We start from the raw sequence: 24,620 nt of genomic DNA on the forward strand, positions 1-24,620 counted from the left end.
GCATACAGCACAATTTGTTGATTCCTCTAGCAGATATCATGAGGTCAGATTGAGCCTGGGACTTTCTTGGCTTCTTCCCATTTTCTACCTTGTTTCTTCTATACCTTTACTAGTTTTTCCTGAGATTATTTCCCCAATAAACCATTTACACTTAAATCTTTGCATCAAAGTCAGTATTTGGGAATGTAACAAATCAAGCTCTAAATCCACTGCATAAAATATAGAGATAAATAGAATGCAATATTGTTTTTGAGATATTATTAAGGGTCAGAGAACATTATATGATTAATAAATCATAGACTTCTTAACACAAAGTCCATGGTGAGCTGGCAAAAGTCGTAGAGTCATAGAATTTTACAGCTGAGAGAAGCGCTTTTGAAATCATCTAATGCAAGCTTCTCATTTTACCAATGAACTGAGGCTTGAGCAATTTGGGAATTCTTATCAAGAGCTTGTCAGAAAGGTCATACTTTATGACCCTGTAATCCTTTCTTTATGGAACATAGCCTAGGTAAGTAGTCATAAACTCAAAGATTTATGTATAGAGATTTTCATCTGACTATTATATAGAATAGTAAAATATTTGGAAGCCATCTAAATGTCCAAAATACGAGAAAGGGTAAACACATTACAGACTGTGTTTTGGCATATTTATTCGTATAATAAAAAGGATACTCTAAGAGAATATTTAAGAGATGTGAAAAGGCTCACAATTTGAAGTGGAAAAAGCATTAAAACAGGACCATTCATTAGAAGAAATGAAAGGAAGGTATATATCAAATTATTAATACTGGTTATCTCTGGGTACTTGATTTATATTTCCTTTTTATACCATCATATATTTCCAAAACTTTCCAGAGTAAGCACATGCATTACTTTTATTAGCTTTATATTTTAAAACATTATAAAAATAAATGCAAATTGACTATTACAGAAAAAATATGACATATTCCAAGGTCAAACTGACACATCACTCAGGGTTGGAACTTCATTTGGGAATCCTAATTTTTAATCTTGGTCTCTATTTTCCCATAATAAAATGAGTTTTTATTAGTGGAGCAGAGAATTTCAAAAGTGAATTGTTTGGTTAAAAATTATTTAGTAACTTCCTGGCATAGGTGGAGGTAGAATTAAGGATCTAATATTTCAGGTCTTCCATTTTTGTCTTTCTCCATCTCTTCTTTTCCTTTTGTTTCTTATTTCTTGCCTCAGTTTCCTTCACTGATCTTCTATTTCAATCTGCTTTGAGCAGCAGAATTCTCCTCAGTTTTTTTTAATGGAATATTATCATCAGTACTTTTTCTACCTACGAGGCTGCTTGTAGTCATTTTGAAAAATAAATAGAACTTTTTCACTAAATAGTAGCTTAAAGAGCTTGACTTACTCAAGTAAATATCCATTGCTTGGTAGGAATGTACAAGGAGGAACAATGCGTTTGTTTCTTCCAAAGTATTTTTTCAACATAGTCCTTTGGGAAAAGGTAATATATTTACACAGGAGTCAAGAAGCTAATGAAAATAAATTTAAAATTTTCCAATAAATTATGATTATTTCAACCAAATTTGCATTTAATATTTGTGAATGTCAAAGTAAAAAGTACAAATGGGGGCCAAATAGCATATGTCTTAATGCTTACAGGTTATAAAGCATGACAACAAATCTGAAACCTTGACAAATACATCTTTAGAGTGACTTGGAAAGACAGGTTTGAATTTAGAATTTTTGTGACCATGTGGAGTGAGCTAACCCACAGAGCCATCTCTTCCCCCTTCTAACTGCAGCTCCAGTGCTCACTGGTTAGGATCTCGTGCACACACAGTAGACAACAGGACAAGTATTTAAGTTTCATCCATACCTGCTCTAATAGCCTGATGTGGTTTGGTTCTGTGTCCCCACCCAAATCTTATCTCGAATTGTAATCTCCATAATCCCCATGTGTTGAGGGAAGGACCTGGTAGGAGGAGACTGGATTCATGGGGTGGTTTCCACCATGCTTTTCTTGTGATACTGAGTGAGTTCCCATGAGATCTGATGGTTTTATAAGGGGCTCTTCCCCCTGTGCTCTTGCTCTTCTCTGTCCTGCCACCTTCTAAAGACGGTGCTGGCTTCCCCTTCACATTCCACCATGATTGTAAGTTTCCTGAGGTCTCCCCAGCCATGTGAAACTGTGAGCCAATTAAACCTCTTTCCTTTATAAATTACCCAGTCTCTGGTATTTCTTTATGACAGTATGAAAAAGGACTAATACATAGTATTTCCTTGGTCCTTTCATAGTTCTAGGTTTTTGAACAGGCCTAGCATAATCTGCTGTTCTGAGGATGGACTCAAAGAGGAGGTCCCTGAAGGCCTTGGAAGTTCAGGCTGTTTGGGAAGTGATTTCTGGGGTCTCAAGTATACATACGATGGCCATGTCTTCTTGGCCCTATGAATTCCTTGATTCATGGGTGGCATGTGGCCAGAAGAGTACCAAGGTGAGTTCCTCTAATGTGTGGAGCTCAGGGCTGAGCAGTTTTGCATGAGCTTAAAATTTTGTATTTCAGGAAAATTCTCATTATCATTTACCATCTGGGTCCAATGGACACCCACCCTCTTTTTTGAGTTTTTTTTTTTTTCCTCCAACGATAACATTATTCAAATCCATATTACAATATAATGAGTAGGATATGGATATTGACATGATGCACTGATCTTATGTAAATTTTCTTAATTTTACTTACATTTGTGCATGTGAATTTAGTTCAATCACTTTTATACTACATGCATTAATCTTCTATGACTGCCATAGCAAAATATCACAGACTGGGTAGTTTAAACAATAGAAATTTATTTTCTCGCAGTTCTGGAGGCCATTAGTTCAAGGTCAGGGTGCCAGGCTTCAGATGGCTGCCTTTTTGCTGTGTTCTCACATGGCCTTTTCTCTGTGTGTGCACAGGGAGAGAGAGAGAGCGCTGATTTTGGTGTCTCCTCTTCTTTGTACAAGGACACCAATCCTATTGGATTAGGGCCCCATACTTATAACCTCATTTAACCTGATTACCTGCTTAAAGCCTCTATCTCTAAGCACCATCATGTTGGGGGATAGGGCTTCAACATATGAATTTTAGGGGGACCCAATTCCATCTATAACAAATGTAGTTTCCACAACATACACCACCATCCTTGTCAAAATATTGAACAGTCTGCCTCTCAATGTAACTACCCATTTTCTACTGTCATTCATGACCCTGGATCATATCTTATAAATACTGATTCCTTATTTCAAGTACATCTCAAATGAGTACTAGCTTATCATTACTTCTGCTGCTTCTTATACTTGCATCGTTAAAACAAAATAGCTGACATATATTTTGAAACCTTTGACAGCTGCTAATTTTGTGGCAAAGAACACACTATCTTCCTTACTCCATAATTGAAAAACATTTTAATTTATAAATTTATAAACATAATTTAGAACGACTTAACTGATTAATAAATTCATTTTGACTATTTCCTGCTACTCTGTATATTCATCTGTCTTTAGCATTTGTCTGCTTACAAACTCTATCAGGTGCATTTTGGCACTTGAACATTTTTTAAAATGAAATACTGCCCCAGTTTCTTTCAGCAAAATGGGATAATCCAGGTGTTTGTCACAAAACACTAACGACGAAGTCCTTCCTGTTGACTGGCTATTTGGATGAGAATGACATAATTTATTTTTGTCCTTATAAACATGTAATTCACACATTAAATGCTGGGTTTGAGCAAATTCATTCACGATATTATTGTTTAAAGACACATCATCTGGAATTTTACTTATATAAGATCAGTTTCACCATTTTTAGAGCTTGGACTCAGCGCTGCTATCTTTTTACATTTATGTTTTGATGCATGTAATTATAGTGAGGTGTCTTCTGATAATTTTCTTCTCTTTACCTTTAAGAGCAGAAAAGAATAAATTGTGAACTTGGTCTCTGTTCAATGAAAGCTGGAAAGCCAAATGCAAAAATGGTGCTTCTGGTCTTATTTTACAGTTTCTTGAAAGCTGATGCAATACTTTAGCCTATGTAATAAGAATACTTCAAAAGTTTGCATTAGTGACGATGTATTGCACTGTTGATTCAATTAGAGTGGTTAGTGTATTTATCACCACAGGTATTCATTTCACTCTTTGAAGAGAGTACATCATTCTTCTGTTTTCTTATTATTTTAGTCTATTTTAATGCAGTGTGAATAATTCATGAGTAATGGTTGAATAGCAACAGTATGGATTAATACTGATGATTAGCAGCTTACGTAGCAAATAAGGTGGAAAATTTTTTTAAAAAGTTTCAAGGTATAGAAAGATATCATTCAAATCCGATAATGTATCTTAGATTTACATAAGGTACAATGAAACGTTAGGGTAATTGTAAGTAGAATTAAATTTCATTCTATTAAAAATAAGTATTTTTTCTTTCAAAAAATCTCTAAGAAAGAATAAAATTCATGAAATATCTATTACTACATAAAGAACTGCTCAGAAAAGGAACAGAAAATTTTAAATTGGGCCTAACGGAGCTTGTTGTTATCTGGAGGGTTTATGGAGATAGGATTTCAATTGATCTGCAGTTGCAGAATAAGATACAGAGGACGCCAGGCTGGGTGGGGTGGCTCACGCCTGTAATCCCGGCACTTTGGGAGGCCGAGGTGGGCAAATGACCTGAGGACAGGAGTTCAAGACCATCCTGGCTAGCACGGTGAAATCCCGTCTCTACTAAAAATAAAAAAAATTAGCCAGGCGAGGAGGTACGTGCCTTTAATCCCAGCTACTTGGGAGGCTGAGACAGGAGAATTGCTTGAACACAGGAGGCATAGGTTGCAGTGGGCCAAGATTGTGCCATTGCACTCCAGCCTGGGCAACAAGAGCGAGACTCCATCTCAAAAAAAAAAAAAAAAAAAAAAAAAAAAAAAAAAAAAAAAAAAAAAAAGATACAGAGGACTCCAAAAGGAAAATTTAACATGACAGATGGGGGTCTATAAATGATTATCTGAATTTAAGTCTAAATTCTAAATTTAGACTAATAGTCTTCAAACTTTTTTGTAAAGTTTGAGAAACTATGTAATCTCCACGAGCATTAAAATTGACATACATATTTTAAAATCATGCAGTGATGTAATGTTTATACTATAGTAAATATTAATATTTTCAAATAAAACTGTGTCATCATTTTTCAATTCTAGCCAATGGAATATAAATGATTTAGGGTTTTATTTTCTACTCTATCCTTTTAGAAACATAAGGAAAATTTCGTCCTTGAAGCTGGGAAGTGTTACTTCTTCCTCTTTTCTCCTTTAATTGGTATTTCCCATCAATTTCCTCATAAAACTTTGTCTTAATGTTTTCTTTAAAGATCATTTGTTAATCATCCTTTTATACTTCTTTACAACTGTGTGTATATGTAATTAAATTTATTTTCATAGTAGTTACCATTTTCTCTATTATTTTATTCTTTCTAGAGTACATCTAAAAGAATTATTACTAATAGTTGATTAAAACATGATATATTGCAGAATTTCTCTCATTTTTAAAATATTATTTATTTATTTTCTAATTGACACACTGTAATTTGATGATTTGATAAATATCTATGTTGTACAATGATTTAATTAGAATAGTGTATCAATCACCATATGCATTTATCATTTCTTTGTGGTGAGAACATTCAAAAGCCTCTCTTCTACACTATATTAATAGACATTGTTTTACTGTTAACCATTGTCACCCTATTGTGCAAAGGAACACTAAAATTTATTCCTGTTACCTAATTGTAAATTCATACCCATTTACCAACATTTCCCTACCCCCCCAAATCTACCCTCCCCTCCCATATCTTTGATAACCTCTGTTATACTCTCTGCTTCTATTATGTCAATTTTTTTTAAAGATTCCACATCTGAGTGAGATCATGCAGGATTTGTCTTTCTCTGTTTGGCTTGTTTCATTTAATATAATGACCCCTAGGTACATCCATGTTGTCACATGTGACAGGGTTCTATTACATTTTATGGCTGAATAGTATTCAATTATGTATATATATCACATTTTCTTTATTTATTCATTTATTGTTGAACACATAGTTTGATTCTATATCTTGGGTTTTGTAAATAGTGCTATGATAAACGTGAGAGTTCAGGTATCTCTTTGACACGTTGATTTTTATTTTGTTTGAATGTATCCCCAAAGCGGGATTGTTGGATCATATGGTACTTCTATTTTTAATTTTTTGAGGAACCTCCTTACTGTATTTTTATAATAGCTGCACTAGTTTACAATCTCACCAACAGTGATAAGCATCTGTTTTCTTTGCATCCTTGTCAATATTTGTTTTCATTTTTTGGGTAATACCCATTCTAAATTGAGTGAAGTTATATCTCATTCTGGTTTTGATTCACATTTCTCTGATCATTAGTGATATTCAGCATTTTTTATACAACTATTGGTCATTAGTATATCTTCTTTTCTGAAATGTCTGTTAAGGTATTCTATCCATTTTTACATACCAGGCTTTATTTTTGCTGTTTAGTTGTTTAAATTTCTTACATGTTTAGGACATCGACCCTTTGTCAGATATATAGTTTGCAAATATTTTCTCCCATTCTGTATGCTGTCTCTTCACAATCTTTCACAAATTTTCTTTGCCATATGAAAGCTTTTGAGGTTGATGTAATCTCATTTATCCATTTTTGCTTTTGCTGCCTGTGCTTCTGAGGTCTTATTTTAAAAATCCTTGCCCAGCCTAATGTCATGAAGCATTTTTCTTAAATTTTCTTCTAGTAGTTTCACAGATTTGTGTTTTACATTTAAGCCTTTGATCCATTTCGAGTTTTATTTTTCTGTATATGGTAATAGGTAGAGTTCTAGTGTTGTTCTTCCTCATGTAGATATTCCATTTTTCCAGCACCATTTATTGAAGACACTCTGTTTTCTCCAAAGTGTGTTCTTGACACTTTTGTTCAAAATCAGTTTGCTGTAAATACGTGGATATTTTTCTGGGGTCTTTGCTGTTCCATAGGTCTATGTGCCTGTTTTTATGCCAGTACCATGATGTTTTGGTTACTATAGCTTTGCAATATATTTTGAAGTCAGATAGTAATGCCTCCAGGCATCAGGATTGCTTTGAATATTTGGTGTCCTTTGTGGTTTCATATGTATTTTATGATTGCTTTTTCTATCTTTGTGAAGAATGTTATTGACATTTTGATAGATATAGCATTAAATCTATACATTGCTTTGCGTAGTGTGGCCATTTTAGCAGTTTTAATTTTTCATTCCGTGAACATGGGATATGTTTTCATATATTTGTGTCCTCTTCAATTTCTTTCATTAAAGTTTTACAGTTTTCAGTGTAGAGATCTTTCACCTCCTTGGTCAGGTTTATTACTGGGTAACTGTTTTTGGTAACTGTTGTAAACCATTAGGGACAAGCTACCCCAGGAACCTCCCACCCCACACACTTCAATGCAGCTGATCCTTGCCCTGAATACTCTGCAGCTGCATTCCTGAACCCTCATCTAGGCACTACAGCAAGGTCACCAGACTTGCTTACAGCCCTCCACGTGGCATGGGGGAGGTCACAAGAAACTTAGATAAACCTAAGTTACACCCTCTTGTAAATTCCTATATTGTAAGCCGGTCACGAGATGATATGTGGTAAAGTTAACTGACAAGCAACCCCAGGGTCTCTCTCCCCCATGTAAAGCCCTCATTTTGTAAGCTCAGGGCTGCCTCCTCTGACTGGTGGAGCAGCCCAGCAGGTTAATAAACTCACTTGCCTGACCTTGGGTCTCTGTCTCTTGTCCTTTCTCTCCACTAACTTTATATAAATGACATTGTTTTAGTTCATGTTTAGCATGTAGAAACACTACTGATTTTTGTATGTTGACTTTGTATCCTGTAACTTTACTACATTTGTTTGTTCATTCTAATTGTTTTGTTTGTTTGTTTTGATGGGGTCTTTAGGGTTTCTTTACATAAGATCATGTCATGTGCAAACAGAGACAATTTCACTTCCTCTTTTACAGTTTGAATGCTATTTATTTCTCTCATTTGCCTAATTGCTCTGGCTACAACTTCCATTATTATGTTAAGAGTGGTGGTGAAAGGCATGTGCCTTATCCGTAAGCAAAAGCTTTCAGCATATCTTCATGAAGTATTATATTATCTGTCAGTTTTGTTATATATGGCCTTAATTGTTCTGAGAAAGATACATGGTATGTTTAGTTTGCTGAGAATTTTTGTTATGAAGTGATGTTGAATTTTATCCAATTTTTTCCCCACATCTATTGAGATAATCATATGGTTTTTGTCTTTCTGTTAACGTGGTGTGTCACATTTATTGAGTGGAATATGTTAAAACATCGTTACATCCCTGGGATGAATACCACTTGATGATAGTGAATGATCTCTTTAATGTGCTCTTGGATTCAGTTTGCTAGTATTTCATTGAGAAATTTTTAATTTTTGTTCATCAGTAATATTGGTTTGTGGTTTTATATTTTTTGTTTTGTTTTGTCTTTGTTTGGTTTTGGACTCAGAATAATGATGGCTTTGTAAAATAAGTTTAGAAATATTCCCTCCTTTTTGGTTTTCTGGAATATTCTGAGGAAAATTTAAAGTTTATCTTTAAATGATTGGTAGAATTCGACAGTGAAGCCATCAAGTCCTGGGCTTTTCTTTGATGAAAGACTTTTTATTAACAACTCAACGTTTTCACTTCCTATTGGTCTGTTCAGATTTTCTATTTCTTCATAATTTAATCTTAGTAGGTTGTATGTGTCCAGAAATGTATCTGTTTCTTCTATATTATCAAATGTGTTGGTGTGTAGTTGTTTATAGTAGTCTCTTGTGATCCTTTGTATTTCTGTGGTATCAGATGTAATGTCTCTCCTTTCATCTCTGATCTGATTTCTTTGGCTCTTCTCTCTTTTTTTACTTAGTCTAGCTAAAGACTTGTTATTGTCTTTTCAAAAACAACTCTTTGTTTTGCTCTTTTTAATGTTTTTGTCTCTATTTCATTTATTTCTTCTCTGTGCTTTATTATTTCCTTTCTTCTGCTAATTTTGGATTTATTTTTATTTTTCTAGTTCCCTGATACAAATCATTAGGTTGTTTATTAAAATTCTTTCTTCTTTTTTGACATGGGAATTTATTACCATTATATAAACTTTTTTCTTAAAACTGCTTTTCCTATGGCTTATGGATTTTGGTACGATGTGTTTTCATTCTCATTTATTTCTAGCATAGTTTTAATTTTTCTTTTAATTTCTCTTTTGACCCATTGTTGAAGAATATGTTGTTTAATGTCCATATATTTGTAATGTTTCCTGAGTTTTTCTTATTGTTGATTTCTAATTTTATAGTATTATGGTAAAAGATACTTGATATGATCTCTGTCTTCTTAAATTTGTTAAGGCTTGTTTTGTATCCTAATGTGATTTAGTCTAAAAAATGTTTCAGATGCAGTTGAGAAGAAGAATGTGTGTTCTGCAGCAATTGGAAGGATTATTCTGTAAATATACACCAGGTCTATTTGGTCTACAGTCCAGTGTTTCTTTGTCAATATTATTCTCCAGATGGTCTGTCCAATGTGGAAAGTGGGGTGTTAATGCACCCTACTATTATTGTATTGCAGTCTATCTCTCCTTTTAAGTCTGAATAGTATAAATACTTTTAAAATATTACCAAAACTTAATTGATTAAAACATATATTGCACATTTTAAAACCATAAAAGTAGCATTAGTTTTTTTCTCATGTTGACTCTGTTAATGATATAAATGGATTTGGAATTTATTTTTACCTTGATTTAAACTGTAGTGATTATTTTTTGTTGGGCAAAGAGAGTTTGAATTTATGCACTTTCCAAATATGCCCTGGAAATAGCAGTTCCATTATCTGGGACATGAAAGAAAGAGTGATCATTTGTATGCCGAGTCCTGAAATAGTCAGAGCTGTGCCTTCTAAGGTTGATTTAATAAATATAATAAAGTGTCTTATGTTACCTCCTTAATACCAATCACCTTCTGTAGAGAAAATAATATTTATTTGTAGTTCAATTTATATTTATTATGTGGAGAACTACAATAAACCAAAGTTTATAACACGAATATTACATAGTATATATATTAAGACATTGGCAGATCTACCTTAAATGTATACCATTATAATATTAATGGACTAAAATACATTTCCAAAAATATGGACAGTAGGCTATTAACTTTATTGAAATATTCACAATTATTCATATTTTTGCTTCCATATCCACATTACAATTTTAATGGTATAATTATTTAATATGTTATTAATTTCCTTTGTAAATGTAGATAAAGGAAATAAATTATTTTTATTAGAATTCAGGTTTTTAAAAGTTGATCAATTTGACAATCCTTATAATTTCCAGTGAGAAAGGAAATGGAAAAATCAGCTGCCAGCTATGTCTAAATGATTTTTAATAAGAATGTTTATTATTTTTTAAGGTACTAAGTATGCAAGGTATTCAGTTTGTTTTATTTGGACTCAATTTCTCTAAGGCATTAAGTTTTCATTTAAAATAAAGTCTGTTTGTTGTAATATTAAATTTTAATTTAATTTTCTAAGTGACAATCTAAGGTAAATGTATGCATGCCTAATTTTTTTTTTTTTTTTTTTTTTTTTTTAGATGGAGTTTCGCTCTTATTGCCCAGGCTGGAGTACAATGGCACTCACCACACCCTCCACCTCCTGGGTTCAAGCAATTCTCCTGCCTCAGTCTCCCAAGTAGCTGGGATTACAGGCATGCGCCACTGCCCCCAGTTAATTTTGTATTTTTAGTACAGACAGGGTTTCTCCATGTTGGTCAGGCTGGTCTCCAACTCCCGACCTCAGGTGATCTGCCCACCTCAGACTCCCAAAGTGCTGGGATTACAGGCGTGAGCCATTGAGCCTGGCTGCATGCCTAAATTTCTACATCTTTCTTTACTTTCTTGAGTATATACACTGATGCTGAAATTTTAGAATTAAACTTTATTTTATCATTTTAAATGTAATAGTCATTAAGCAAATGCCATAACTAATTATGGTAAGCAGAATAAAGACTCTAATCCCTGGGACATTTAAGTATGATACCATGTGTGGCCAAAGGGACTTTGCAGGTGTAATTATAGTTACAGACTTTGAGATTGAGAAATTACCCTAGATTATCCAGGTGAGCCTACAATGAATTAAACATAGCCTGTGCATTAGTTTTCTGAAGCTGCAGCAACAAAGTATCACAAACTTTGTGACATAAACAATGGAAATTTATTGTCTAGTAGAGTTGGCTCCTTCTAAGAGCTGTGAGGGAAAATCGGTGCCATATCTCTCTCCTGGCTTCTGGTAGCCTCAGGCATTTCTTTATTTGTAGATTGTGTTCCCTCTGTGTTTTCACATTATCTTCCCTCACATGTCTGTCTCTGTGTCCAAATTTTCTCTTTTCCTAAGCACACCAGTTATATTAGATTAGGGTCTACACTAATGACTCCATTTTAACTAGATTACCTTTATAAAGACCTTATCTCCAAATTAGTTCACATTCTCAGATATGGGGTTTAAAAATCCAACATACCGGTTTTTTGGTGACCCAGGTCAATCCGTAAGAGCCTGGGTTACATAATTTTATTACTACAATTCCTAAAATAGGAGATAAATCTGTTTTCAGCAAGTGCGTCGTGTCTCATACTGTTCTATGTGTAGACCCCAGATGGTCAAAATCTGTGCTCTGTGAATGCTGTGGAGAGACGAGAGCAGAAAAAAATGGCAAAAGATGAAAATTTCTTCCAGAAATGCCAGAAAACCAAACTCATTGTTCAAGAATTGGCACATGAGCCTGCTCATTACCTCTGATTCAAGAAACAGCCTGTGGTCATAGCACCGTTGCCAATGTCCTGTGGGCTGAGCTATAAATGTGGTAAAGAGTGAGGATGACTGACTTTTAATCACAAGAGTAAAAAAGTTATGGTGGCAGGTTTAAAAAAATACATAATGGCACCAAAACTGACTCTTCTAATAGAGGAATATCCAAGTTGTTATTTTTAAAAATCTTTATTTGCTTGAATATAACATGCAGTCTTTTAATCAGGGAAATAACTATTTACATTTTCATTGTGAAATTTAAATAAAAAATGCTATACAACAATAACCTGGTAGAGAACAGTTATTTTTATTAAATGTTCAGGTAAAATCTAGATATTTCTTTTTGATATTACATATTATAGGACTGATTTAGTATATTTCTTTTGTTATTATTGTTGTTATTTTAAAATTAAATGGAGATAATTTTGTTTCTATGGTAAAACTGAACTGCTTCAAGTTTACACTCAGAAATCTCAAGCACTCATGTCAACTCTAATTTAACTATGGCAATTTAAAAAATCTTTTGAATCATCAACAGAATAACAATGACACCAGTGAAAGTGAAATAAATACATGCTATTATATGTAGTCATATTAAGTAGTTCATTTCATTAAACAATGAATTCCAAAATTGATATTTAAAAATTTTTTAAATTCAATTTATTGATGTATATATTTGTTTTTATGACAAAAATTCATTCTTAAATTTGAACTTTTTAAAAGAAATATGTCAGATATAACTATAATTGCATTTAAATTTGGTCAATTGTGTGTTGTGTCAGTTGATTTCTATAGAAAGAAGATGGCGAGATAGCCATGCAAACAGTTTATTGGGGAAATACAAGTGGGAGCTAAATTCAATGGCAACATTCTTCAGAATATGATACAAAACAGAGAACTGTAAAAGAAAATGAGGAAAGAAGCAGGACTGCACAAGGAGAATCTCCATCCATTATGCACATTGGATAGTGCTGGCCAACCCAACTGGGAGGTCAAAAGCCAAGACTTCCCATGAAAGAAGACCTATATTGGCCAGCAATGGACAAACTCTTGTACCTACACTATAATCAATCATTGGGTGGGTTTCAAAGTTGAGATGAATCCTGAAGCTCTTTGCATAGAGATTGTCAGCTGATAGCCCTCCTTGCAGCTAAATGAGTCCTTTTTTGAAGGAAGACTGCATAGTCCATGCATCATGCCACCCGCCCACTTATCTACATGTTTGACATGTTGCTTTTGCATGATTCAGATATATGCCAAATAAACATATTTCCTTTTATTCAATCTTATGCTTTAGGCCCTTAGTCAAACACATTCACAATACAATCTTACAAGTATAACCAACTCCTATTAATACCAGCTGGTTAATACATTTTATTGTTATTGTTGTGTACAACTTTATTGAGTTATGTTTAATTCACCATACAAGCACCTTTTTGAAACGTATAGTCAAGTGGTTTTTGGTATATTCACAGGTTTGTGCAATCATCACCAATATCTATTCATTTTCAATTTCCTTAAGAGTTCCTACCCATTGGCTGCCATTCCCCACTCTCTTGACACCCACCCCTACAGAACCACCAATATGCTTTCTCTTTCTGTGAACTTGCCAATTCTAAACATTTCACGTAAATTTAATCATATAATACACAACCTTTGCGTCAGACTTCTTTCTCTGGCATAATGTTTACAAGGCTTATCTGTGTTACAACATGTATCTCTATTTCATTTTTTTTTGTATTGTAGGATAATACTTTATTGTATTGGTATACCTAATTTTATTATCCATTCATTGGTTGATGAATATTTACGTTGTTCCACTTTGGAACTATTATGAATAAAACTGTTATAAACAGTCATGTACATTTTTTTTTGTGTGTGGACATACGTTTTCATTTCTCTTGGGTATAAATAGCTGCATGTTTATTATTTTGAGGAACTGCCATGCTGTTTTGCAAAGTGGCCACACCATTTTATGTTCCTACTAGCAATGTATAAGGGTGTCGAAATTTTCCACTAACTCATCTCACATTTTAAAAATTTTATTTTAGCTATCCTAGTGAATTTAACGGGATATCACATTATGATTTGGATTAGCGTTCCAGTATTGAAAATGACGTTTAGCATCGTTTCATGCATTTGTTGGCTATTAGTATAACTGTTTTTTGGGAAATATTTGTCATGATAATTTGCCCACTGTTTAACTGCATCATTTATCTTTTTCTTGTTGAATTGTAAAGTTTCTTGTATATTCTAGATACTAGAGACTTAGATGTATGAGCTGCAAAATATGTTAACCTTATTATGTTTCCACTTTGTCTTGATTTTTATAGCTCTATAAGTTTGAAATTAGGAAGTGAGTCCCCCAACTTTTTTTTTTTTTAAATTATTTTGGTTATTTTTATGTGAAATTTTCTGTCAACTTACTGATTTCTGAACAAAAAACAGTTGGCATTTTGACAAATGTTAAGTCTTCAAATTCATAAATATTACCATAGAGAGTCATTTACTGGATTTGGATAGTCTGTAATTTTTTCAACAATGTTTTTGGTTTTCTGTGCACAAGTTTTGCACATCTTTTTAAATAAATTTTATTATAAATAGAATTGTTTCTTTAAATGTTTCATTTCCATTGTTAATTGCTAGTAAATATTTATAAAACTGATTTTTGTATGTTGCTTTTTCCACTCATGTGGATGAACTGTATCATTAGTTCTAATAGTTTTTTTTTCTTTTTCTATTAGGAATCCTAATAGTGGATTCCTTAGATTTTTCTGTATACAAGGTCATGCCATGTTCAAACAGATATAGTTTTCCTTTTTTTTTTCATTTTGAATGTTTTTTATTTCTTACTTCCAGTATAATGCTAAATAGAAATGTCTTCCCCTCAACTTGGAGGAAAATATATCTTTCATCCTTAAGTATCATGTTAGCTGAGGCTCTTAAACAAATAGATGGCTTTTATCAGGTTGAAGATGTTTCTTTTCATGTCTAGGTTGTTGAATATTTTTATAATTAAAGGGTGTTGGATATCATCAAATGCTTTTCCTGCGTCTACTGAGATGGTTATGTCATATTTGTCCTTTATATTTTTAATATAGTATATTACATTAACATATTTTTAATAGTAAACCAACCTTGCACTTCTGATATAAAGATTATATATTGACCTGAAATTTTCTTCTTTCTTAATGTACTAGAGATACTTACAGTTATAAGTTGCCCTCTGAGTACTGTTTTTGCATCCCATAAGTTTTGGTTTGTTGTGTTTTTATTTTATATTCTAATTTTCCTTTTCATTTCTTCTATAATATATTTGTTATTTAAAGGTATGTGATTTAATTTGTATATATTTATAAATTTCCAAAATTTTATTCTGTTTTTGATACCCAAATTAGATTCATTGCAGTCAGAGACCAGATACTTTTTTTTGTATGATTGTAATTCATTTAAATTTATGATAGCTGGTTGTGTAGCCTCACACGTTGTTTATTTTTGGTAATGTGCCTGGTGGGTATCTGCTGTTGATGGGGGTAGTGTTCTATAGATGTCTATTAATTCCAGTTTGTTTATAGTGTTGTTCAAATTTTCTATATTCTTGTTTATCCTCTGCCCATTTGTGCTACCTATTATTAAAAGTCTCCTACTATTATTGCTGACTTGTCTATTTCTACCTTCAAGTCTGTCAGTTTTTAAAAAAAATTATATTGGTACTCTTTTGTTTGGTGTATATGTATGTATACTGTTATATGCCTGATATGGTTTGGCTGTGTCCCTATCCAAATCTCATCTTGAATTGTAGCTCCTACAATTCCCATATGTAGTGGGAGGGACCTGGTGAGGGATAATTGAATCATGGGGTTGGGTCTTTCCTGTGCTGTTTTCATGATAGTGAATAAGTCTCACAAGATCCAGTGGTTTTATAAGAGGGAGTTTCCCTGCACAAGCTTTCTCTTTGCCTGCTGCCATCCATGTAACATGTGACTTGGTCATCCTTGCCTTCTGCCATGAATGTGAGGCCTACCCAGTCAGGTTGAACTATCAGTCCGTTAAACCTCTTTCTTCAGTAAATTTTCCAGTCTCATGTATATCTTTCTCAGCAGCATAAAAACTAAGTAATACAATCACCTTGAAAGATTGGCACCCTTTTTCTTATGCAATGTACTTTGTCTCTAGTGACCAATTTTTTTCTGAAAGTCTATTTCTTATGAATTAGTATAGTCACTTCAGCTCTCTTGGGTAGCTTCTTGTGTAATATATCTTTTTCTATTACTTTACTCGTCAACTGTTTTTCCACTTTGGGACTTTTGCTGTTTACTGTGTAAATGTATATAGTTGTATATGTTTTTTATACATTCTGACAATTTTTGCCTTTTGAGTTAGACATTTAATCCATTTACAGTTAGTCTTATTACTGCTAAATTAGTATTTATGTCTGCTGTTTTGTTCTTTGTATTCTGTGCCTTGTATGTATTTTAACCTGTATTCAAAGATCTCTGCCTTCTTTTGTGTTAAATTGATATTTTCTAGTGTATTTTAAAATTCCCTTGTGTTTGAAAATATTACTATATTTTATTGATTAATGCTTGCAACTACCCTAATATATAGTCCCTTGCTTCTTTTTCCAGGCCCATTGCATTATCAGCTCAGTTATTGATTTGGGCCTGCCCATGATGAACATGTATTTTACTTGAGAGCTAAAGTAAATCCTGAAAGTACTACAGGTCTATGTGTTGGCTACTGCAGGACTTTTTGTTTTTTACAGCTAATTAGCAATTTCTTGATAGAAGATTTGAGTATCTGAGTATTTCACCTTTAAGATGCCATAGACATCATGTGAGCTTTTCTGTTTTAATTTTAACTATCTTACTATGCATTAATTTGTTTTCATTGTCCAGGTTTTCATGATTATGTCAAGGCACAGGGACATAAATTTTCTATACTTTTATCCAATAGCTCAAGTTGGTTTAGACACACCTAAAAAAATATTAAATGCTTAAACTTAGTGTAAAACTCAATGATTCATGTTTCATGATCAACTAGAGGTAAAGTACTATATTGTTCTTATCCTATATTGTATTACAGGTTTATATATTATCCTATATTGCATTTGAGTTTTCTGATTGAAGTTGGAATTAGAACTTGTATATCTCTGTAGTTTGGACATGAAACCCAATAATTGATCTATAGTAGTATTAATATAGGTATGTTTAATATAGGTGTGCTACTCCCTTTGTTACTTAAAGCCCTTTTTATCCTTGAACTTTGACACCCTCCTCTGTGTTCTAACAGTCTGTATCAGGCAACCTCATTTTAAAGAAATTCTCTTCACCCTACTTGGACTCTGACATCCATACTGGCTTCCTTCCCACCTAGACTCAACTCAAGCTCTGTCACTGTTGGGGGGTCATCCCTACCCTATATAAAAACCCTATTTAGCCTCCCCTCAGGTTGTGGTATTTTGTGCCCAGCTGCTCTTCTGCTCAACTCTGACATCTGAGTCACCACACATTCTTCCTAAATGGCAGCATTTCTCACCCTGCTTGGGCTCCAACACCTGGCTCTGGGCTATCCTGCCTTTTTTTTCTCCATCAACCCAGGTGTGGACATCTAACTTTCTTGGCACCATTTAATAGCTAATTAAGTGTCAATTCTTAGAAAATGTCCTCTTCTTCCCTGCCTCTGTCTTCTTTGTCTCTCTTTGCAGTGGATATTTTTAAAAAGAGTAAAATCATTGAATTTTACAAGTGGAGTTGGTGAACCCAGAGTTAAAATATCACTTACTTCTAAAGTCAAAGTGTTGGCATCTATATTAATGGCGAATAAAAGCATTATATGACACCCTAGGATTACTGAATGCCTTACATTATATAATAGGCTCAAATTGTCTCATCCAGGCTTGAAAGAGATATATGTTTTATCAATTATTATTAGGCAGATAAACCCCTTGAGAATATTCCCAGAAAAGGGTTGTACAGTGTTAAAAAAATGCTAGTGGTATAAAATTTACTACTATAGAATTTACTTATAGGGTCTAATTTTATGTTCTATAACCAAAACTAAAGGAAAAACATTTATGACATAAATTATTCCTTCCTTCCATCCTTCCTTGTCTCGTCAATAAATATTTTTGGGGAACTATTAAGTGACAAAAATTTTATCCATAATAGCTTAAAAATAAAAAATTCTGATTTCCTAAAGTTTGCAGCTAATGGAGTGAAAAAAAAACAAGATTAATAAGTAACATATAGTACAGTTATTGTCTTTGGTAATTGCAATTATTTGGAGGAGAATAAAGCAAAAATGGGGGATGTATCGGCAAGCATACGTGGTATTCCGGGGAATTTAAAGCAAAAAAAGGTGTATAGATATAGTAATGGTACCATAGATGTTAGGTCCTAATCCTTGAAGTTTTAAATGTTATTTTATATGGAAATTGCTTTGCAAGTGTGATTAAGCTAAGGATGTTGAGATGGGAAGGTTATCTGGGTTAGCAGAGTGAGTCCTAAATGCATTCATTAAGTATCCTTAAAAAAGCAAAGCAGTAGAAAATTTGACACGTACAAAAAAGGCAAAGTGAAGATAGAGAATAGAGACTTTTGAAGATGTTGGCTTTGAAGATTAGAGTGAGCCTACTGCAAGTTAAGGAATGCCAGTAGCCGCCTGAAGGTGAAAGAAGCAAGGAACAGATTTTCCTCTAGAGCTTCTGGCAGGAGTATGACCCTGCCAAAAACCTTGTTTTGGCCTAGTTAAACTAATTTGGACTTCTGGCCTCTAGAACTGTGAGAGAATACAATTCTGTTGTTTTAAACTGCCTCATGTGTGGTGATTTGTTAGAGCAGCCACAGGAAACTAAAACTCATGGTATCCAGGCGATGACTCTGAGAAGGTGATATTTGTACAAAGTTCTGATGACATATGGGGTTAAAGCCTAGAGGGGTCAAAGATTGAACTTGGAAAAAGATTGTACAAGGTTTCTTAAAATATTTTTATTTTTACTCTTTAATTTGAAATTGAGTTACAGGGAAGTGACATATAAGATGAGTCTTGAAGAAAAGAGTTAAAAATATTTTAAGAAGAGGGAATAATATATGTAAAGGCTTGAAAGCATGAAAAATTTAAGAATACTCTAGGATATTAAAAGATTTAATACCTTTCTGCATGCACCTATCAATTAGAAAGAGTTAAGAGCAAAATACGTCCTTTGGTGTATGATAATGTTAAGCCATAAAACATGTATACTGCAGTTCCTTTTTCAATTTGGAAGTCTACTGCTTACATGGAAGAAAAGTGATCTATAACCTGTACTCAAATGATTAAGTGGTGTTCTTAAAAAGGTAAAGGCTCTTCTTGGCAGGAAAACTAGAAGTTATTTCATCTGATTAGGAGTCACACTGAAGCTGACATCTTACCACATGTTCAAGTGCACTATGATTCATTTCCATAGGGTAAGTGAAAAAAATTCAGCAAGTTAAGAACTTCTACATTTAAGGTACATAACAGTTCAATAGAAAGCTATGCATCTATCTATCTATCTATCTATCTATCTATCTATCTAATGGTTACTATTTTTCAGTCATTTCAGTGGATGAATTGAAGTTGAAGTTTATTGTTAATTTAGTTATTCTAGTATATGTATATCAAATTCCATATGTACAATATTCATACAAACAATAATAAAAATATTTACAGTGTCTTAATATATGCCAAGCACTCTTCTAAGATTATCATATATATAATCTGATTTTATCCCCATGGCAATACAGTCAATATGAACTCCATTTAAAAGATGAGAAAACAGGCTGGGCACGGTGGCTCACACCTGTAATCCCAGGACTTTGGGAGGCTGAGGCAGGCAGATCACCTGAGGTTGGGAGTTCAAGACCAGCCTGACCAGCATGGAGAAACCCCGTCTCTACTAAAAATACAAAATTAGCAGGGCGATTATACAAAACAGCACATGCCTGTAATCCCAGCTACTTGGGAGGCTGAGGCAGGAGAATCACTTGAACCCAGTAGGCGGAGGTTGTGGTGAGCCAAGACAGCGCCATTGCACTCCAGCCTGGGCAACAAGAGTGAAATTCTTTCCCCCCCCCACCCAAAAAAAAGAAGATAAGGAAACTAAATTATATTTTCAAATGGAAGCAGAATACTTAACATATTTATAAAAAATATGTGAAAAGTCTTAATTATCAATTTATAGCAATATAAGTATAGTACAAGAGTGCAGAGCTAGTTCTTATGAAGCAATATTAGAATGTCAGACATGTCAGGAAGCACAGATACAGGCCAAGGAGATGGAATCATACTGGATATAAAAGTCATAGATGCCAAGAGCTAAATGGAGTGGCTGTTAACTTCAGAGCTATAAGTACAAGGTCATATCAGATACTGACAGAGGCAAATAAGCTACCAAGATGATAATACTCAGTTATAATGTGTAGGTGATATATTTGAATTCTATTTCACTACATCTTGTTGGTACAAGGTCTCTTTCTTTTTTGAGATGGGGTCTCACTCTGTCGTCCAGGCTAGAGCGCAGTGGCGCAATCTTGGCTCACTGCAACCTCCGCCTCCTGGGTTCAAGCGGTTCTCCTGCCTCAGCCTCTCCAGTACCTGGGACTACAGACATGCACCACCATACCCGGCTAATTTTTGTGTTTTTAGTAGAGACAGGGTTTCACCTTGTTGGCCAGGCTGGTCTCGAACTCCTGGACCTCAAGTGATCTGCACACCTCAGCCTCCCAAAGTGTTGGGATTGCAGGCATGAGCTACCATTCTCGGCCCAAGGTCTTCTTTTAATTGATGGCAAAGACATCTGAGTCTCTAGATATTTTTCCTAGAGTGAGCACTGTGGGTAAGGAAGTTCAAGACATAGATGGAATAAATGTTGATCCAATAAGGACAAATCTCTCTCTCCTCCAGTGCATAAAGTGTTTGATATAATCTAGCTGTCACCGAGTGAATGGTTGTTTCTCTCCAAGAAATGGTCATAATTAGATGGCTTCTTTTGATCTCTGTTGCTGGAAAAATGAAATGAACAGGAGCGAAAAAAAATGAGCCCTTGCTTTTGGATTTATTTCATAAATATCAATGAATAAACTCGTTTTATGAATCTGTTGGGCTAGCGGTGAGGTGATTCTACCTCAGGTTATTTCTACCCCTGTACACATAAGATAGTCAAGTACACAGCTGGATATATTGCCCATTGCATTTCGCATTAGCACTGCTCTGTAAGGTCACCGATAAATGGGGCTGCGCTACAGCCTCTGCCCATTTTTGGCTAACAACAACTTTTAGCCAAATGTAGCTTACCTGTGAATCAGACTCGAGTTCTTTCTTCCACTTTTTGGCTGAAAGGAATCCCTACCTCATACCTTTATTAATTGCAAGCATAAGTACTAGTTGTAAATATAAGCTGAAGAAGATTAATCTGTGTAATAAAGACAGTCAACAAGATGTCTTTTTTACCTTGTCAGGTACTTTTGCCTTCTAGACCTATCTGAACCAATCTCAAACATGTAATTTTATTGCACTATAGATTGCCATTTTGCCCACTTAACCATATGGTTTTGTTGATTTCAAAATCCCCAGCTCATTATGGCACTTTCACTCTCACAGTCACTTGATGTTCCAAGGCCATCCTCTTTTACGGTTCTGACACTATTAAAGAAAGACCCTGGTTTGGGTTTTCATTGCAATCAGCAGCTGCAGGTGATGTGCATCTCCTTAAAATCTGCTCAATCTGCAAAGGGGCCCTTTCACAGTTTGCCTAAATTGGCTGTGAGATGTCCTTCACTTATCGTTTTCCTCTTACAAGGTTTCTTTTGCAGCTAAAGTAAGCCAGCCCACTTCAAATTCCATATAATTATCCCTGCCCCATGTCTTCTAGAGCTAGAGCTGCCACACAGCCTAACACCTCACTATTTACTTGAATTTCATCCAAATTAAGCACAGGTGAAAACTTTAGTCATTGTGATGCCACCATATGCCAGGTGTTATCATCTCCCCACTAATAACGGCACCCTAGTATCCATTAAAACAGGGATAATCCACCCCAATATCACCTTCTGAGGGTCTATTTTTAATTCATTTCCCAGAAAATAAAGCTAGAGGCAGGAGGCTTATAAGCTGTTTCTTTATTAGGAAGTGTAATTTTGCAGAGCAAAAGTGAACAAGTGGAGTAAAGCCTAAAAACAGGGAAAGCCAATACAGTAATGAACTTGTAAGTTGGTGACTGTTACGTGAGAAAGATTGCTCTTCTCAAGGGGAATGTTTCCCCATAAGTCTTATAACCAATATCTTAAAACTGCTCATTGGATGTGGGTCATGGGAAAAAAGGGGGCACATTTATCCACCAGCTCAGAGTTGTGCCCAAAGGGGATTAACGTTCTAGTATTTTGGATTAACACGTTTGGGTGCTGAGGAGTATTCCATAGCAGTGTCAACAGAGCAGCCTCAGGGTGGGAACCCTGTGCACGGTATAGGCATCAGTCAAGGTTTTACCAGGCTGTGCTTGGAAGCATTTGGTCATAACCTACACAGAACTGGTTACTGCAGAGTCAGGTGAAACACGAGTATCTGAGATTGTAATATGTTTTATACAAGCACGTAAAGTAGTGTTATAAAATCCATGGGAGTTTTTTGTGTTCTGCTTCAAATCTACTTCTCCTCTGGTGTTCTCTGAGTGAATGGTACACTTCTTTTTTTTTTTTTTTTTTTTTTAATCTATTTGCGTTACGAAAAAAAAAAAAAGCTAGATACATTCAATGAAAAAGCCATCTCTCGAGAATTCAATCTCTTCCCAGTGCTAGATATTCTGACTGCTATTTATTGCTCAAAGCTGTCCACTTAACCCCTCTTCATCATCCTCTTCATAACGCCCATCATCCTGATCACCTGTGAGCTAGATTACTGTGATCATCTTCAGTCTTGTTCTATTTCATTTTACATTATCCAAGGGACAAGTGAATCTGATTTTAGCACTCTTTGTTTCAAATCTTCAATTATTCCCATATCTAAAGAAAAGAAGAGTCTCCTGAACTTGATATGTTTCCTGTTGACTATAGTCTTACCTCATTTTCCTATCTCTTTCTTGCAAGTCAAACCAAATACCTTTTTGTTCCTTAGGAAAGGGCATTTTCTCTTTCTCCACATATGCTCATTCCACATTGTTTTCTAATTTATTTGCCTGTTTATTCCATCTTGTCTTTCTAGTTTTAATTTCATTGTCATTTCCTTGAGAAAAACTTCAGTCTTCACTCAGGTGGGTTAATCTCAGATATACTCAATAATGTATAATAACCTTTTCATCCTCTCTTATTACCCTTTTCAATAATCTTGTAACCACTTGTTTTACGCTTCCCTTCTAGACTGGACTGCGAGCCCCTTGAAGACAGGAACCCTGTCTTGTTTATGATTTTATCTCAATCACCAAGCACAATGCCCAGATTTCAGTGTTTCATGAATATTTGTTAAGTGAAAAAATACTTAGAGTATGTTAAGGGTTTCAAATAGGGGTGTTGTAACACAAAGTATGAGAGCCTCCTTGTGTGAAGGGGAGCTATGGTGAAGATGAAGGAGGACAGAGTCAGCCATGATAGGAGGAGCTGTAATGAAGCCAAATTCCTGTGACTAAGGAATCATGTAAAAATTGAGCCCTGGTGCTTATTTAATGCAAAAGAGTAAAAATAAAATAGATTCCTCATGTTGTATTTTCTCCCCTCCACCAAAATAGAGTGGTGCATGAGCTGTGGGTAGCAACTTGAACTCGTGAGTGTTCCCAGAGAAGGATGAAAAAGCAAGTGAAAGGACTTGTAAATTACTCTGGGAAGATGAGTTGGAGCTGCTGGAGTCTTTTGTTGCTAATAAAAATGTGCCAGTGAAAGCTCCTGAGACCTGTGTGTTGCCCCACTGACAATCAAACCACTCTGCTTAACTTGCCTTGCCAGAGAAGTGAATGCTGTTTGTGGTAGGTTTATTGGAGAAACAAACCGTTTGAACTCTGTCCAATGTTTCCATGGCTAAGAACTTTAGTCACCAAACCTCTTTGCAAAGAGTGCAGGCCAGCCGGGCACAGTGGCTCAAGCCTGTAATCCCAGCAATTTGGGAGGCCGAGGTGGGTGGATCATCTGAGGTCAGGAGTTCGAGACCAGCCTGACCAACATGGAGAAACCCCATCTCTACTAAAAATACAAAATTAGCCAGGCGTGGTAGCACATGCCTGTAATCCCCATCTACTCGGGAGGTTGAGGCAGGAGAATCACTTGAACCCAAAAGGTGGAGGTTGTGGTGAGCCAAGATCACGCCATTGCACTCTAGCCTGGGCAACAAGAGCAAAACTCTGTCTAAACAAACAAACAAACAAAAACACAACAACAGAAAAAAGAGTGCAGGCAATAGGACCTTCCAGCTAGACCTGTGCCGTTCTTACTGTGTTAGCTAGTGCTCTTCAGGCACTTCAGCATAACTGTCCTTTTCAAATGGGGTATTTCCTTATTTCGTGAACGTATCTTATGGCTCACATGGCAGATCCCTGATGACACAGGGATTTTAAAACATAAATTTCCCAGTGTTTATTAAAGAGATATGTTACCTTGAATGTCTAAATAGAAAGATGATAGTGATTGGCTGAGCTTTGACATGAAATATTGCAGGGTAAAATGGGGCAGTTTTTCTTCTGTGTTTTAAATTGACTGTGACAAATAGCCTAGTTTCTCCTTTTTAAAGTGT

General features: G+C 34.8%; 1 annotated feature.

Annotated features, from left to right (window-relative positions):
• Positions 8,022 to 8,797: an enhancer, noted in NCBI's record as "OCT4-NANOG hESC enhancer chr4:31293032-31293807 (GRCh37/hg19 assembly coordinates)". NCBI's record gives its function as "activates a minimal SCP1, AML or CMV promoter by ChIP-STARR-seq in naive H9 embryonic stem cells {active_cell/tissue: H9 hESC(naive)}" and the evidence as "EXISTENCE:reporter gene assay evidence [ECO:0000049][PMID:30033119]".

The sequence above is a fragment of the Homo sapiens genome, chromosome 4 (genome assembly GCF_000001405.40).
Source record: "Homo sapiens chromosome 4, GRCh38.p14 Primary Assembly".
NCBI lineage: Eukaryota > Metazoa > Chordata > Mammalia > Primates > Hominidae > Homo > Homo sapiens.